The 16,936-nt window shown below is 37.6% G+C and overlaps 1 long non-coding RNA gene across 1 annotated transcript, besides 2 other annotated features; it reads right to left on the bottom strand.

Annotated features, from left to right (window-relative positions):
* Positions 1-3,086: 3,086 nt before the first annotated feature.
* Positions 3,087-5,124, bottom strand: LOC124903240 (uncharacterized). Its single transcript, XR_007063926.1, has 2 exons — positions 4,718-5,124; positions 3,087-3,586 (listed from the first exon to the last, which is right to left on the bottom strand). It is a non-coding gene; the product is annotated as an uncharacterized LOC124903240 (long non-coding RNA).
* Positions 8,640-8,809: an enhancer, noted in NCBI's record as "experimental_33432 CRE fragment used in MPRA reporter constructs". NCBI's record gives its function as "activates a minimal promoter by MPRAs in K562 erythroleukemia cells, with activity observed for the introgressed 13:81140534 or rs9593469 variant allele {active_cell/tissue: K562}" and the evidence as "EXISTENCE:reporter gene assay evidence [ECO:0000049][PMID:34662402]".
* Position 8,724: a transcriptional cis regulatory region, noted in NCBI's record as "Neanderthal adaptively introgressed variant 13:81140534 (GRCh37/hg19 assembly coordinates) or rs9593469 in the experimental_33432 CRE". NCBI's record gives its function as "modulates activity of the experimental_33432 enhancer by MPRAs in K562 erythroleukemia cells {active_cell/tissue: K562}" and the evidence as "EXISTENCE:reporter gene assay evidence [ECO:0000049][PMID:34662402]".

Here is a 16,936-nt window from a genome sequence, read left to right as displayed (position 1 = left end):
TTAAGAACTTTATTATAATACCTATTTTTCTCCCTGAAGCATAGAGCATTAAGCCATTATCACTGATGTAAGCCTGTATAAGATTAGCCAAACAGCCTCGTACAGAGGCTAACAGGAAGTGGACAGCAAACAGATTTGGCAGTGGAGAGAGATTTGGGGAGGTGGTATCTGAATGGGAAAAATCTTAGCGGAGTCACTCAATAAAGGAGCTATACCATCAAAGAGCACCATGAGAAAACTGAGACCTGGGCTGTAAAATGCCAGATTTAAAGAGAAATTATGAAGAAATGGATGAGGAAACTTGTCAAGATACCACCTCACAAAATTCCTTCAATGTTTAGCTTGAAAAAAGTAGTTCTGCTCTTTAAAGTCTCCTATGCAGGATTGCAAAACTTTCTATAAGATTTCTTGAGAAAGTGACATTCTTACGTAGCAGTTTATTTTGCACAAAGACATACTCATTTGTTTATTTAGTCATTGATTTGGCACCTTTTATTGAGTGCCTAAGACAAAGGGCTTTTGTCATGTTCTAAAGATAAAACAATAAGTAAATAGTGAGTGAGTTCTCACGAGATCCGGTGGTTTTATAAGGGACGATTCCCCTCCTTTGCTCTGCACTTCTCTTTGCTGCTGCCATGTGAAGAAGGATGTGTTTGCTTCCCCTTTTTCCATGATTTTAAGTTTCTTGAGGCCTCACTAGCCCTGTGAAACTGTAAGCCAATTAAACTTCTTTCCTTTATAAATTACCCAGTCTCGAGTATGTGTTTATTAGCAGCATGAGAATGGACTAACACAGTCATAAAACTTAGTCTTGGGCCAAAGCCAGAGTATTCAAAATATTGGCTAATGAGTTTGAACATGACAGCCCTTGGAGATGAGCTTAAAGCCAGAAGATGAAGCATGTAATAATAAACCGAGATGCCAAAATTGGAAGTGGGGCAAACACAAATGCAATGAGGAGGTAAAAAGTCAGAGCCTGAGCAGTGCAGGAAAAAGTAATGTCTGTGGGCAATGTAGCTTGGTTCAGAACAAATTTTGCAAACCCAGCTATTTAGCTGCTACATTCATTTTGCCTGTGGTTAGGTGAGTTCCAGCTAGGTCCAGACAGGACATTCACAAGGGCATGCATGGATATAGGATGGATGATTCTCTCTAGCAATCTCTGGAGATTAGCTAGAGAATAGCTAACAGCCCTGGAGCAAGAACAATGAAATCAGATAGATGGAATAACTCAAGGTTCGATATCAGCTGGAAAAGAATGTTGGAAAATCAACTAACACAATGATTCAGGCAGATAGAAAAAGTATTATTGGTAGAAGTCCACTGATAAACCAGAGAATGGGGGACTGGATAGCTTATGGAAGAGCTAAGTGGAAGAGAAGGAGTGGAAAAGATGGTTGTATCTACTGAAAAGGCAACCTCATATCTAAATATAGTTTTTCAAATCAATTCTGGAAATGGCTGATTGACATGTGACCCACAATTGAAGGCTCCGTTATATGAGTAGTTAAAATGATGAAAAGGATGGAGAAAGAGAGAATATGATGCTAGTTCTTATGTTTTCCAGTTCATTAAAAAGGAAAAGAATGTCAGGCTATGAGGAAGATGAAATTATGTGTATTTTCAATGAGTATCAGGAAGAGTAGATATAAAGCAGACAGTGAAAGAGTTTCATAAATAAAATAGAGACTTTTCCCATTTAGGTGCTTTTACATGAATGGCTGCCTTTTGTCATCAGCCCTTTAGGTACTACAAACCTGAGAAAACAAATCAGAAATTAACTTGTTTTCGTAGTATTGCACTGTTTGCAATACACTTTGCTTTTTACTGTGTCGCTTTCTCAGGGCAACCCTGTGAGAGAAAAATAATGACACGTCTCCCATTCGCATTTTACAGAAGCAGAAACTAGCACTAAGCAGATCCCTCGAGCAGATGTATTTCTGCCTCTAAAGCCTGAGCTTCTTTCCATATGCCACGCAGTGTGAATAAGACAAGCTTCACATCTCATCTCAAGACTGGGAAAAACAGAGTCTCTGCAAGGCAGAAATATCAGCTGCTAAAGTCAGACCTATTATGAATAAGTGGTTAGAATAATGCTTTGGTTTCTTGGTGTCCTACATGAAGAAACCTATGCTCTTGGATAGGTTATGAAACCATATTGCTATTATGAGAAATGTTGTCTTTTATCACTCAGTAATTTGTATAAGCATAAATCTATATACTTGGCAGAATTCATAATGACTCCATATACCCACAACTAAGGCTCAAGCGCTATTTATTACTTGTGAGAGATTCCTTGCTGGTTTTCTATTACATTATTTAAAATATTGATCTCAAATTATTACCCATATGATCATGAATCAAGTCCTGTGTGCTTACATACTGCAGCTGAAGACACTGATCCAACAGTATCATTATATGGAATTTAAAGTATCACAACTCCCTAAGGAAATTGGCTGAAACCAGTTGGATACACTCTGAAATATTTGTTTAGTTAATTATCGATGGCTCCAAAGTGGGCCACTGTAAAAAGCTTTCTCGGTAAATTGCTTTCAAAGCCTCCAGCAGTTTGTAGGCGTATGCTTCTTTTACACTCCATACAAGGTTCTCTTTGTATATTTGCCTGTGTGTTACATGTATCTTTGCAGTTTTCACTAATGGTTTGTATGCAGCCCTGGTTCATTGTCAGGCTACCCTGACAACTTAAACAGTCTTCCAGTCCTCTCAGATGGGGGTTGAATTTGAACTTAATATCTTTACCATCATCATAATAAATATGCCCATCAGATCACTCTGGATAAGGAAGTTAAACATGTAAGTCTCCAAGTCTTTATTACCCAATATCTTTTGTAAAGCTTCCAGGTCCCAGACTCACAATTATCACATCATATGGTTGCTGCTTCCCTTCTTATCTTATTATCTTCTCTTAATATTCTAGCAATTAAGATCATATCCAGTGTGTCTGGAGGAAGGGTAGCCTGGATGAGACTTCCTAAGATGTTATCTGATACAGGCACTGAAGCTGTGATGAGAAGACTGATGAACACATAGTATTCAGAAAAAAGATACTGTCTTTACTCCAGGGAGAAGAAGAGATTGTATCGATTTTTATTTCATTTTTTATTTTGACATATGCAAGGTGATATGCACTGTGTAAGCTCATTTAAGTTACAAACATGATTCTCAGAATCCACTTTTTAGCATAATTCCAAATTCCTGTGGGCTGCAAGAGATACTTTAGATGACATTTGAAAAGTGGAAGAGAAGCAGCAACAGTCATATCCTTTTATACTGGGAAGGTCAATGCAATTACAATGCAAGACATCGGGTGCCATTGCAAATCAGGCACATTGTTTCTGATGGGCTGGCTCACCTTGTCTAAGTGGAGCAGGGCCAGCTGACAGTCACTCCAGCAACAGCTGGATCTCCTCCTTCAGTTTCTCAAAATCCTAGACCAGTGTGTGCAGCGTCTGCAGCAGCAGCAGGACTTGCTCGTCCAACTCCTCTTGGGTCTCTTCCTTTATCTTCTGTGACTCTTGGGCCAGTGCTGTGGTTAGCTTCACAGGAAAGGGCACCAGTTTCACATCTAGCCAGAAATAGCACTGATGTTGGGAGCTGGAGCTGACAAGAGACCTGCATGTGTTCCAGCTCACTCTTATGTGCTCCAATGTGTCCTGTTCCTTCCCCACTTCACCATCTTTCCTTCCCAATGGCCTGCCTTCCTGACTTCAGTCTCAGTGTCTAATGTAGAAAAAAGCAGGTTTATATAGTTTAACCAACTCCTACAAATGTGTAAGTTGGAATCCCTATAGTAAATCCCCTAGTCATTATCATTCCTAGGAGCTTTGTCTCTCTAATTCAAACTTGTCTAGTAAAATACGTATATTTAGTATATTCAGGGGGATACTATTTAATAAATTTTTTCCAACAACTTATTTCATGTAATCCATTGAAATTTGGAGTGATAAAGGAGGAAATTCTACATTTAATGCTTTAGGTTAATATTTTGTCAACTTCTATGTTTTTCAAATGATTTTATTTTAAATAGTGTTCTATGGGTAAAATGTAAGTAATATTAAATTATTAGAAACTTAAGATTCCCTCCACTAGATTAATCTTAATGCTGCATTCATGGTGAAATTAATTCAGTCATAAGAGAACAATGTTCTTAATTAGGACATGGAAGAGTTTTGTAATCCTAACCATTGGAACCATTTTCTAATTTTGACATCATGAAGAATTAATTCTTCTCACACTTGGGAAATAAGAGAATTCATGAAAATTATTTCAAGACACGGATATTGTCTTCACAGTGAAGACATTTAACTATAGGTATGTGAAACCAGAAAATGAGATAATAAAATTACTTATGAATATAAATGTATTCCCCTAATATGTTTCTCCATACAAGCTATTGATCTAATTTATATCACATCTAATTCTCTTTCACTTTTCTCTACCTCACAGAGAAGAGAACACGCTGGTGTAAATTCATAGAGGGGTACGACCATAATTGCTAGAATACATACAAGTATAAAACGCAGAGCTAAAAGTTTAATGTGCTCCATAGTTCTCTAGTTTTGTTTCTCTAGTTTTGTGTATTACTCATATGTGTTGGGGCAATGATAGCTCCATGCCACTTGGCAATTCAAGTGTAGATGAAGTACAATTGCTGAAGCTGAAGAAGATACAAGGATGAGAAAGACCAAGCTCCTACCTGCAATTCAGTAAAATATGTAAGAAGGATGTCAGCCTGTGCCAAGGCTTCAGAACAGAGAACTTACTCTAAAGAAGGCAATGGGAGGGGTAGGTGGTGTTGCTGTTTTGTGCCTGTAAAAGAACAAAAGAAGCAGAGAAGAAATGATGTTGAAGTGAAGAGTTCACAAGATAGACAAAAGGTTCTACGGTAACATTGCTACCTCTGGAGTCCACAAAAGCAGTGTGCATTTCCCATAAAACCCCTAACTAAAGCTGATGTGTGATCTTTAATAAAGCCCCCGTTTGTGGCAAATATTGTTTGCAAGTGGATTCTACAGGAGAAATTTTGAAAAACTGTTTCCCATTGGATTACATAAAGCCTATGTAACTCGCTGGGTGCAGGGGCTCACACCTGTAATCCCAGCACTTTGGGAGGCCGAGGGGGGGACTGCTTGAGGCCAGTTAGCCAGGAGTGGTGGCACATGCCTGTAATCCCAGCTACTTGGGAGGCTGAGGCACGAGAATTGCTTGAACCTGTGAGGCGGAGGTTGCAGTGAGCTGTGATTGTGCCACTACACTCCAGCCTGGGCAACAGAGTGAGACCGTCTCAAAAGAGAAAAGAAAAGAAAAAAAGGCTATGTAACTCTATTCCAAGTAAGTGTAATTTTTTAAGATAAAGAGGGTTCTATGTAATGTCTGGTTAAAAAATTACATTCATAGATGGGTTAGCATAAATACCGCAGTGATCACAATATGAGACAGACTATATCTTTGTACAAAGATGAAATTATTTCAATAGAGAGATGAAGAAAAAAATTTGCAAAGACCTGGTTATTTATGAGTCTTGAAAGGTGAAGGAGATTTCAAAATGTAAAAATGGAATTACAGATATGGGCAACAGAAGGAGAAAGGTACCAAACTAGGAAAACTCAGGGTCTCTTAAAGGAAGAAATGGAAGCATCTAAAGTATGACACTCACATATGGGGGAAAAATAAGAGCTTGGGAAATAGGTTGTAGTACATTTTGGACTAGAGAGCCCTAAATGCCAAGCAGATTTTTTTTGCCATACTTAATTGGAATAATGACCCCAAGAAGGTGTCTTCATAAAACAGTGCTATGGAGATAACTGTTAATTCAGAAGGTTAATCCAGCAGTAGGTTGTAGGTTGAAACAAGGACAATAAAGCTGAGAGTTGTAGACACCAGTTCAAAAATAATATGGCAGACTCTAAATAATAAGGGCCTAGAAATTCAGCTTAGGAATTAAGTCCAATTATTTTATTACAAAAAAAATGGAGTGGAAAGAGAAATAATAAATGCAGCTGTAGGCACATTTTCATTCATTTTCATGAAATAGATAAGGGCATTTTTTTGAGAAAAATGGACAGATGGTTAGATTATAATTTTAAGAAAGTAGAAAAGGGTAATGCCTCAATTAATTATGGTAGTATTGTCCATCACTCTCAAAATTCCACTAACTGTCCATTCCGTGCCACTTGATACAACTTGTTTCGTCCAAATCATTCTGTTGGAACTGCCCAACTATTGTCCTAAATAGCCTGCTTGGCCACAGTTGATTAGCACAGAACTGAGCACTGGACTCAAGTGTAACCAATGAGAGTGTTCACTAGAATTTCTGAACCTGTGCTGTAAAAGTCAGTCTCTCTCTAGTAACCCAGATTTCAGGATGGAAACCCTAGTGCCAGGTCTTACTGTCCTTCCATTGTGTTTCCCATGTGCTCCTTCCCATATGGAACACAGAGCAGACGTGATCTGCACAGAAAAAACTAAAGTTTGAAATAGATTCCTAATGAAAATAATAAATACAAAATGAAGGAAGGTGGAATTTAGTCTCCTGGTTCCAGTTGTTACTGAGGATCAGTCCTCTTCCCATCCTTCGATTCACGAGACATCCCAGAAAAATTTTAATATATTCCCTTTACATATTTTTGCTTAAGCGGATTCAAGTTGCTTTTCTGACATTTGCAATAAAAAGGTTATAATTAATAAAAAACTGTGTGTCTCTGTGGAGAATTAACAACAGTGCTCACTAGGGAGGTACCCAAGCATTCCCCAAAACCATTATGGCATCCAAGTGAGGTTTGGGGAAGTAAATGGTAAAAATGCTCATCTGCCAGGTGTATGAATTTCTGAAAAAGCCTTTAGTAGCGCAGAGATGGATGAAGAGAAGGTAGGCTATTGAACTGATTAAAAATTATGGTTTTAATTGTAAAGAAATACAAACTATGGGCAATAGAATGTGAATGTTTGCAAAACTGACAAAAGTGTGCTTGAAGCTCAGGGTGAAGTGAGTCTTGAAGGCAATCATGTAATCCATTTGCAATATCTGCACTGACCAGAGGAATCGGAGGCACAACATAATTTCTATGTTCCCTTCCTCCTCTTTAGGATCTAAATGTACACTCCATCATTCTTTTCAGAAAATCAGATTAATGTAACTGCCCAAATCAAGATGATGGTAAATGAACTGATATAAAATCACCAAACAAAATGAAAAGATGTTTTGTTTGTTTTTGTTTTAATAGAAAACTAGATGCCCAGGAGACCAAATAAGGTAGTATGTATCACAAGGATAAGAAACAAGAAATAGACACACAGAAGAAATAAAAATTATGATCTTATGGTAGTAAAAATACTAAAATTAGGCTAAAAAAGACTTGTGTACATATCATTGTAAAATAACATGGTGGCTAAACTTCACCATTTTCGAGTTTCCATTCATATACTTGCTGTTCTTGGAGTAAGATTTTGAAGTGGGATATTATCACTGTTGCTGCCCCACTCAAACCCCTCACACTTACTTTAATGCCTGTTCTCTGGATTTCCAACTGGCTACACCTGCATTTTGTTGCGTATGTGTTTTTCTCTGGCTACCAAAGCCACTGAATCCTAGAAATGTCTGAGAATTACCACCCCTTGAGAACATCCCTCAACCAATGACTTAAGGGAGTTTGCTGTGTGAACGTCCCAGCTTGCTCTCCCCACCTTGGGGGTATTTTTGAAGCACAGCCAGATTTCCTCTGCGAGAACAAAATCTAGCTATTCTCAGTAGCAACCTGCTTGCTAATGAATTTGTTATTGGCTGCCTTTCCTTTTCTTCTACACTTTCCCATTCCCTACTGGCATTTTCTGAAATTAACTGTCAAATAAGTAACTTGAACTTGAATATTTTTCTCAGGGTTTGATTCTGAGGAAACACAAACCACCCAAAAGATTTGGAGTATAGTTAGGAGAATAGTGTTACATTATCATTCTGGGACCCCTTTTCTGAGAGTTCAAGATTTAGAGAGTTTTATTTCCTGGGTGAAAAGAAATGGCAGTTCTTTAATTTTGTGTAGTACAGAGGTGTGCAAGAGCTTTGAGATATCAATTAAGGATTATATAAAATTAAACAGAATGTGAAAAGGGCTAAAAGTTGATATTTTATTAAGAAATAATTTTTTAAATCTATAAATACAGGTTTCTGATAATTGAAGTGACACTACCTATATGTTAAATTAAAGGGTACTGTGGTATGTTAAGGCTAAAATATTGTGTAACAGCTACCAACAGTAAAATATTATATCTTTGGATTCTATTATTTGTAACAAGTCAAGACATAGCTGAGAAAATATACTAGAGTAATATAAGTTGCTGTAATAACTGCTACTATCGAAAGGATTATCATAATTAGAATTTAATTTTACTCTTTTAATTTTGCTCTCCAATGCAGATGGTCCAAGTGCAGTTCAACAGGAGAATCTCCCCCACATAATCAGTCAGGAGCCCAGCTTCTAAGCCTTCTACGGTCCTCCCAGGGGTTTTCTCTAATCCGACCATCCAGAAGAGGAAAAAGGCAAAAGGAGTGCCTCATGGAAGGTCCTTATGGGCAAGTCTGGAAGAGGAGCTCATTTTTCTCTCCTTTAATTGATTACAATATGGCTGTACTTAACTACAGGTGGGGCTGGGAAAGATTCCCACTGGGACACTAGACAGGTATTTTTTTCAGCGACACCTCTCCACTTGAAAGAGAGAATACTGATTTTTGGGAAATAAACGGCCATCACTTCCACAACAAATATTTCTGTGCCTTTTGCAAAATGAATATGCCAAGCAAGTTAATAATATTAAGAAATTATAATTGAATGTTAAGTAAATTAAATCATATTCAAGAATTGGAGAAAGATGTATGCACATAGCAATTCATATACTTATTAAGAAATCATTGGCTGGGTGCAGTGGCTCATGCCCGTAATCCCAGCACTTCAGGATGCTGAGGCAGGTGGATCACCTGAGGTCAGTAGTTAGAGACTAACCTGGCCAACATGGTGAAACCCCATCTCTACTAAAAATAAAAAAATTAGCCAGGCTTGGTGGCAGGTGCCTGTAATCCCAGCTACTCAAGAGGCTGAAGCAGGAGAATCGCTTGAACCCAGGAGGCAGAGGTTTCAGTGAGCCAAGATTGTGCCATTGCACTCCAGCCTGGGCAACAAGAGTGAAACTCCATCTAAAAAAAAAAAAAAATTATTATCTATTTATTAAACTTTCTTTGTAACTTCTGCCAAAAACGTATTTAAGAATTCAATTTTCTGTCCAGGTGCGGTGGCTCATGCCTGTAATCCCAGCACTTTGGGAGGCTGAGGCAGGCGAATCACAACATTAGGAGATCGAGACCATCCTGGCTAACATGATGAAATCCCATCTCTACTAAAAATACAAAAAAAAAAAATTAGCTGGGTGTGGTGGCAGGTGCCTGTAGTCCCAGCTACTCGGGAGGCTGAGGCAGGAGAATGCGTGAACCCAGGAGGCGGAGCTTGCAGTGAGCCGAGATTGTGCTACTGCACTCCAGTCTGGGTGACAGAGCGAGACTCTGTCTCAAAAAAAAAAAAAAAGAAAGAAAAAATTCAGTTTTCTGAAATAAGATTGAAATAAAAACTCTTATGCTTCAATCCTTTAAAAAAATCTATAATTAAGATATATCATTTGTTCATATTAATTTTCCCCCATGCCACTTAACTAAACTCAAATACTTTATGTACAATGACATCTGAATAATAACTGTCACCTCACCACTGTCACACATTTTTATATTCTTCACGGGCAATATTAAAACCATTTCACAGATACTTTTTTCTACATAAAACTGTATCTATTTCCTCTGGCTTGAGTAGATACATGCAAGGAGGCAGAGATCACAGAAATTTTAAAGATCAAAATTTAGATTGAAGATAGTACATAGTCATTCTAATGGGCAATGGAAGAAATGGTTTACAAAATCAAGATTTGTGTTATGAAGTTCACTGATCTTTCCAATACAAATTTCCTCTTTATTGATTTAGCAACAATCATTGGCATTAACATAATATCTTTATTACATATATTCACATGCAGTGTGTAAAAACAGAAAACTAAATATAAAATATATGAATATTTCCATGTCTTTAAATAAAATCCAACATCTCTAATTTCAACTACTTTGGATAATATACCAACTTTATAAAGTCAGATTGGTTGCATGTCTAAGTGATGTTAGAACATTATGGTGTACAAATATTTAAAGACAAGAAAACAGGTGCAACACTATATTCCTGACTGACATTTTGAGGTTTTGTAATGGATATGTTGACTAGCAGCAGTCAGGTGATGGTTGTTTTCATGATCACTAACATTGAACGAATATTTAACAGATTATGTTCCAGTTGCTGTGCCAAGTGCTTTATTTAGTATCTCATACCATTATTATTCCCAATTTACAGATGAGGAAGCTGAGACCTAAAGAAATTTAGCATCTTACCACAGGGAGCAGAAGAGCTGAGATACAAACACAGATCTGCCTGACTACAGATTCCACACTTTTGACAGCTACCCTGTGTGACCTTCATCAAAGGAGAATTGCATCAGTTGAAGTTCATCCCTGCATCCTGTTCTGTGATAAGCGCAGGTTTAAAAACAAAGAGCCAAAAATGAAAATGAGCACTGACTAACTAGTATAAGAATAGAGGACAGAAGATACTAAAAGGACAGAAGATAATAAAAGATAATAAAAATAAATACTTTCAAATCAATAATCCCATTTGATTTTAACATGACACCTCTTTGAGAGGGATAACATTTTCCTATTTATGTGAGACAACTGAGACTTAAAAGTGTCCAGCAATATCACACAAGTAAGGGGCAGAGCCAAGACTCACACCCAGGCCTCTTGCATTTATATCAATATTCCTTGTGCTGCACTATGGGAGCCTTCTGGATCACAAGTTCTTCTCATTACATATTTTTGTTTTCTTTCTCAGTACCTAAATTTTACTAGCTCTAACTATTGCAATACCTTAAATATGATTTGTTCATTTCCTTCTGAAGTGAGATAACCAATCAGATTTAGTGTTACTCTCCTAGCAAACAATGAAGATGCTAGTCAAAATTCAAGTTTGTGTCTTGGGAGTGATGACTTTTATCAATATGATTTTTTAAGGTAGAGAGGGGGAATGAGAGTTCGGAGAGGGAGAAAGAAGGTAAATGCAGCCATGGAAGTTCATTTCTCAACTCTGATTTATGATAGAAATTGTCATCCTGTTTTCAAAGAAGGTAATAAAAATATGAAAAATGAAACTTTGGACAGGAAATAGATACAAAGACTGCAAAAACCGTTAACAAGGTGAGGGTTAGGCAACTAGGTCTAACAGTGATTCTACGTACATGGGCTCCTAGAAGAACACGCACTCAAAGTGTGATTGGGATAGACTGCAGGGAGACCAAATAGTGCTGTGGTCTGAGGAACAAGTAGGAATGTTGTGCAGATCGTCCAAGAGTGACAAGAAACATGTGAAGAAAAATATTTGGAATGAGAGAAGAGGGGGAGAAGAATCTGTAACTATGAGGAGAATTTTCAGAAGATGTAGAGCCCCAAGTGACTGAAAATAGTAGAAAAGTAAAAAAGCATCTTTAACTAATTAGAAGAGAGCTTAAAAGCTGAGAGTAAGGGAACTGCTAAGTAAAAACTTAAATAGATTTCATTTTTATAAGATGATGAAAAATCACAACATAGGAAATAATATATAAAAGTGAATGAGACAAAACAGTGGTTTTAGAAAGTTTTGTGGTGATTCTAATTTTCTAATTTGAAATTAGGCATTAAGAACAATTCTATACACAAATATTGTTTAAAAGATATAAAACTATATAATACAACCACGTATTTATCTCCTCAACTACATTGTTTAATATGATAACCAAATGTAAAGCTAATAATGGACTCACTCTACCACAAATTAGAGAAAAATTAGATAACCAGAATGATGCTATAAAAGACTACATTTTTAAGGTTGTATGTAACATTTTCTAGCAATGTACAAACATAAAACTTATAAAAATGTATTTTTGGTCATACTTGCTTTGTTCTTTTTCCAGACAACTGGGCAACAGAAATGTCATTTGATCCATGCTTAGGTTCTTGAGAGAACCAGAAACATAATGGGCTGCAAAACACCTTAAATTGCTGGCATCATGAATGCTTCCTGCCTAATTCTGTTGGACAACAGAGACAAAGTAAGCCCTGTAATTACATCCCAGCCTGATCTATGCTTACAGTCATGTAATTAATACTTCCTCTGTAAAGCAATGGAATAATTTAAAGAGCAGATATTTTTCAACCATGGTCTGAAAAAAAATCCCTGAGAGGGGAATACATGTGCATTTTAGCTACATGCAGACACTTCTGGGATTCCATTTGCTAAGAGAAACTGTAACCAGATTCTCAGAGCTTTCATTGTAGTGAGAGATGAAAATGATACTTCCTTCCTGCTAAAGACTAGAGTGGGTGGCAAAAGAAACGGTGACAGGCGCCTATATTTATTCCATGAGGATTTATGAAAATGGTAAACATAATCTCACTTCCTGGCTACCTGAGCCACTCAAGTATGGTGCCAACCACATTTACAGAGCCTCGGCCAGGAAATCAGTGCAGAAATCTGGCACCGAAGGTTAGACTTTAACTTACGCGATAGAAATAAAACACTGTACTCTAGCAAATGTATACTGACTTCCCAATTCCATTCATAGTTTCTAATGTCTGCTTGTATAGAGGCATTTACTATAGTAAAATGGATCCTACAGAACTCAGAGACACATATCAAATTGTTTTGCAACATAAAAGTAGGGAACAGAGTCACAGTAAGAATAGAAACTAACAATATAGATTGTATTGCCAAGAAGCTACATTTTCAACAATTGTTTCAATTTAAAATACCTCACCATTATTTTCCTTTAAAGAATTTCTATACATGCCTCGTGAAATTCTATATTTTCAGTCTCTCTCCACTCCCAGCCAAATTCTAAGCAAATGTCAACTTTGTCTATTCCTTTCCATTGTTTCTATTTAATATTTAGAATACACAAAGAGTAATTCTAGGATACACACAGGCCCAGTGAGATGGCTGTTCCCTCTTCCTGAAACACTCCCTCCATTTACTTTTCACAACATTAACTACACTACTTGATCCTTGACATATTCAACATGAAGTTACCCTGATCACTCTTCTATTTCTCTACCATTACTCTATTAATATCCCATGCAATACCTAACAGTGTTGAACATTTTGTTTATTGATTTGTCTGCATTTGATATATGAAGGTTGCCATAAAATTGTGAAAATAAAGTGACAGTGAAAGAGCTAAGAGATTATCATATAGTTGTCTTAGTCTGCTTGAACTAATAATTTTTTTGTTTTCTCACAGGTCTGGAGGCTGCAAAGTCCAAGGCCTAGGTGCTGACCAATTCAATTTTGGGTGAGGGCTCTCTGCCTGGCTTGCACACTGCCTGCTCTCTTCTCACTATGTCCTCACATGGCAGCTTTCTCTTTACTTCTTATGAAACCACTAATCCCATCCTGAAGGTCTTATTCTCATGACCTAATATAACCTTATTACCTCCCCTAGACCCCCATCATCAAATAGCATCATATTGGGGGTTAGGGCTTCAACATATGAATTTTGGGGGGACAGAAACATTCAGTTGATAACACCAGTATTCCAAATTTCATTCCCTTCAACACAGTAGAAACAACAGCAAAAATAAAATTGCTTGATTATTTGATTGAATTACTTTATGACTTTCATAGAGGGAATCTATTTTGTTCTAGCATAAGGATACAGTTCTCAACTACTAGTAAATAACATTCATTTCCAGAAAAACTTGACTTATGCATCTTCACTCTAGTGACTTCACTGGTTCCATTTTATATTCATAAACTCAGTTGGTTTGCTTATAAATTATGGAAACACTTAATTTCAATCTCAGAATGATGCCAACAAAAACATGAACTGTTTAAGATAATATATGATTCTGCATGAATATTTAAAGGCAATAAGCCAGATTTATATTCCGTGAAACACAAAATAAAAATCTTAACAAAAGAACTCAATGATTAATAGGACACATCAAAACACACCACCTTTTTGGCACAATGATTCTGAGCTCACATATAAATAGTCTCCTGTTCTGCAGGCAAACCCACAGAAGAGGGAGTCCCTCTCTGTTGGAGATCACTCCATTTTTCCATTAGAAAAGAGTAAATAGGGGGTTTTAATAGACTTTTGGCTTATGAACTATGAAACTCAATATATGTTCCAATTTGCAAAAACTGGAAACACAAAATAGGCCAATGGCCCAAGTCCAAGTGGACTCAGTTTTACAGAGTCAAAAACTAAAAAGCACAAAAAACAGTAAGAAAACTCTCATTAAAATTACCAAAAGCAAGAGATATTAGAATTGAATGTTTTACTCATTGAACTCATCATTTTTCACTTCCTTTAATTGTCAATCTCACCTCAAAGACTGAATCCACTTTAAAATGATCAAAAACGATTTGTTGGAAATGTATAAGACTGAATAGTGGTCTTGCCCACATGTATATTGTAAAAACATTCATTGCAATCAGCCTCATAAGAGCAATGTTAACAGACCAATAAACACAGAAGTCAATAGCTACATTTTTCATGCATTTGACATTTTCTGGGTGGATACAAGCTATGCACAAAATATTGTGCTTACAAACTATGTTCAAATACTATTTACAAAACCAGTAGCTACGAGTTAAAGTGGGAATGTTGGGTTAAATGTTTACCTAAATATATTATTTGAGGACTCAAAAGTTAAGTTATTCAACTTCAAGCAAAGACCGTCTTCTCAAATATAGAAAGCAAACGCTCTCTAGTTAAAGAAAGGGACATGTGAAAGTTTCATTGAGATCACAGCAGAAGACAGAAGCAAGCACTGTAAATGCACAGACAGAGGAAAGCTCTTAACACAGCGTGCCCTGTGTCCTGCCTTCAGGACCTCTGCTGCCAATAGTATGCAGAGGTGGGTTTGCATCACAGGGCAGTACCAGCGTGGTGAAGATTCTCTACCAATGCACTATGTAAATCATCTTGTTCTGAATCTCTCATATGAATTGGTCAAATCACAGGGCTACTGCATGAAGTCTACTTATACTATCTCCTACAGTATTTAATATTTTTTCTTCTTTAAATTTCCATGGCACTATTCTTTTGTATGCCTTTCCAGTTCTTTTTTTTTTTTTTTTTTCCTGAGACGGAGTCTCGCTCTGTCGCCCAGGCTGGAGTGCTGGAGTGCAGTGGTGCGATCTCGGCTCACCACAAGTTCTGCCTCCCGGGTTCACGCCATTCTCCTGCCTCAGCCTCCCGAGTAGCTGGGACTACAGGTGCCCGCCACCACGCCTGGCTAATTTTTTGTATTTTTTTTTAGTAGAGATGGGGTTTCATCATGTTAGCCAGAATGGTCTCGATTTCCTGACCTCATGATCTGCCCGCCTCGGCCTCCCAAAGTGCTGGGATTACAAGTGTGAGCCACCGCGCCCAGCCCACCTTTCTAGTTCTTGAATGACTACTTTTCCATCTCCCCTATAGCATGTTCTTGTACTTCACTCTTTAAATAAGAGGTCCTGCACCTCTAAGAATTCTATTATCTAGGCCAGATCTCCAGGCTCAATCTCTGTCCCAAGTTCCAGATCCAAATATCTAACTCTTTACTACACAACACCTTTTGGATGTCCCACAGGTACCAAAAATCAAATAGGACAAAAACCAAAGTCATCACCCACACCTTCAGAACCTGCTATCTCCTCGATGTCCCCTGCTTTGTCTATAATGCACCAACCGCTCAGAATTGCTAATCTAAAGTCTGAGGGGAGATCTGAGCTTCTTCCTTTCCTCTGTCTTCCAAAGAGAAGTCAAATGATTATAATGCTTCCTTCATCACGCAGCAGCCTTGGTTAAAACTTTCACTGTTGGCAGGGCCCGGTGGCTCACGCCTATAATCCCAGCACTTAGGGAGGCCTAGGCGGGTGGATCACGAGGTCAGGAGATCGAGACCATCCTGGCTAACATGGTGAAACCCCGTCTCTACTAAAAATACAAAAAAAATCAGCCGGGCGTGGTGTGGGCGCCTGTAGTCCCAGCTACTCGGGAGGCTGAGGCAGGAGAATGGTGTGAACCCGGGAGGCGGAGATTGCAGTGAGCCGAGATTGCGCCACTGCACTCCAGCCTGGGCGACAGAGCGAGACGCCATCTCAAAAAAAAAAAAAAAAAAAAAAAAACACCAAAAAAAAAAAACAAAAAAACTTTCACTGTTTTGTTTCTTTTCTATTTATGGAAATAATTTTTTGCCATCAGTTATTTGTCAGATATTTGCTAACTGAACAGTTATGAACTCTTTAAAAAGTGTCTATATTGGGAAAAACAGACAGGCAAATGTGAAATATTATAACCTTACTTTCAAGTGGTTTCTCTCTCAAACTTTCCCTAGCCTTCTATTCTATCCTTGACATTGTCAATATTCTTACCATGACCCTCCCCAATCTATTGAAAACTCTCAAATTATTCCTTATAATCTGTAAACCAGCTATAGATTCCTGAAAGGAATGTAAACAAATTTAAATAAAATACATTTAAATTTCTAAAAATGAATTTACGTTTTTTTAAAGTAAGAGACAAGTGAATTGCAAATTGCAATTTGAGACTCAAGCCCTGAAAAGAGAGGAACAGGGATGCCAAAACTCCGTGTAAATCAATGTTAGAAACAGGGGAATGGAGTGTGTCATCGCCCAGAAGCCATGAACAAAGGTCAACAGAAAAAAAGCCAAGTCAGAGCAAAAGTGAGCAAGCAAAGTAGCAAAGCAGAGCTCCAGTGGCAGAGACAGAGCTGTGGCATTTAATAGAGAAA

Source organism: Homo sapiens, chromosome 13, assembly GCF_000001405.40.
Source record: "Homo sapiens chromosome 13, GRCh38.p14 Primary Assembly".
Lineage (NCBI taxonomy): Eukaryota > Metazoa > Chordata > Mammalia > Primates > Hominidae > Homo > Homo sapiens.
Note: the sequence above shows the minus strand (reverse complement) of the source record. Positions and strands in the feature narration are given on the sequence as shown.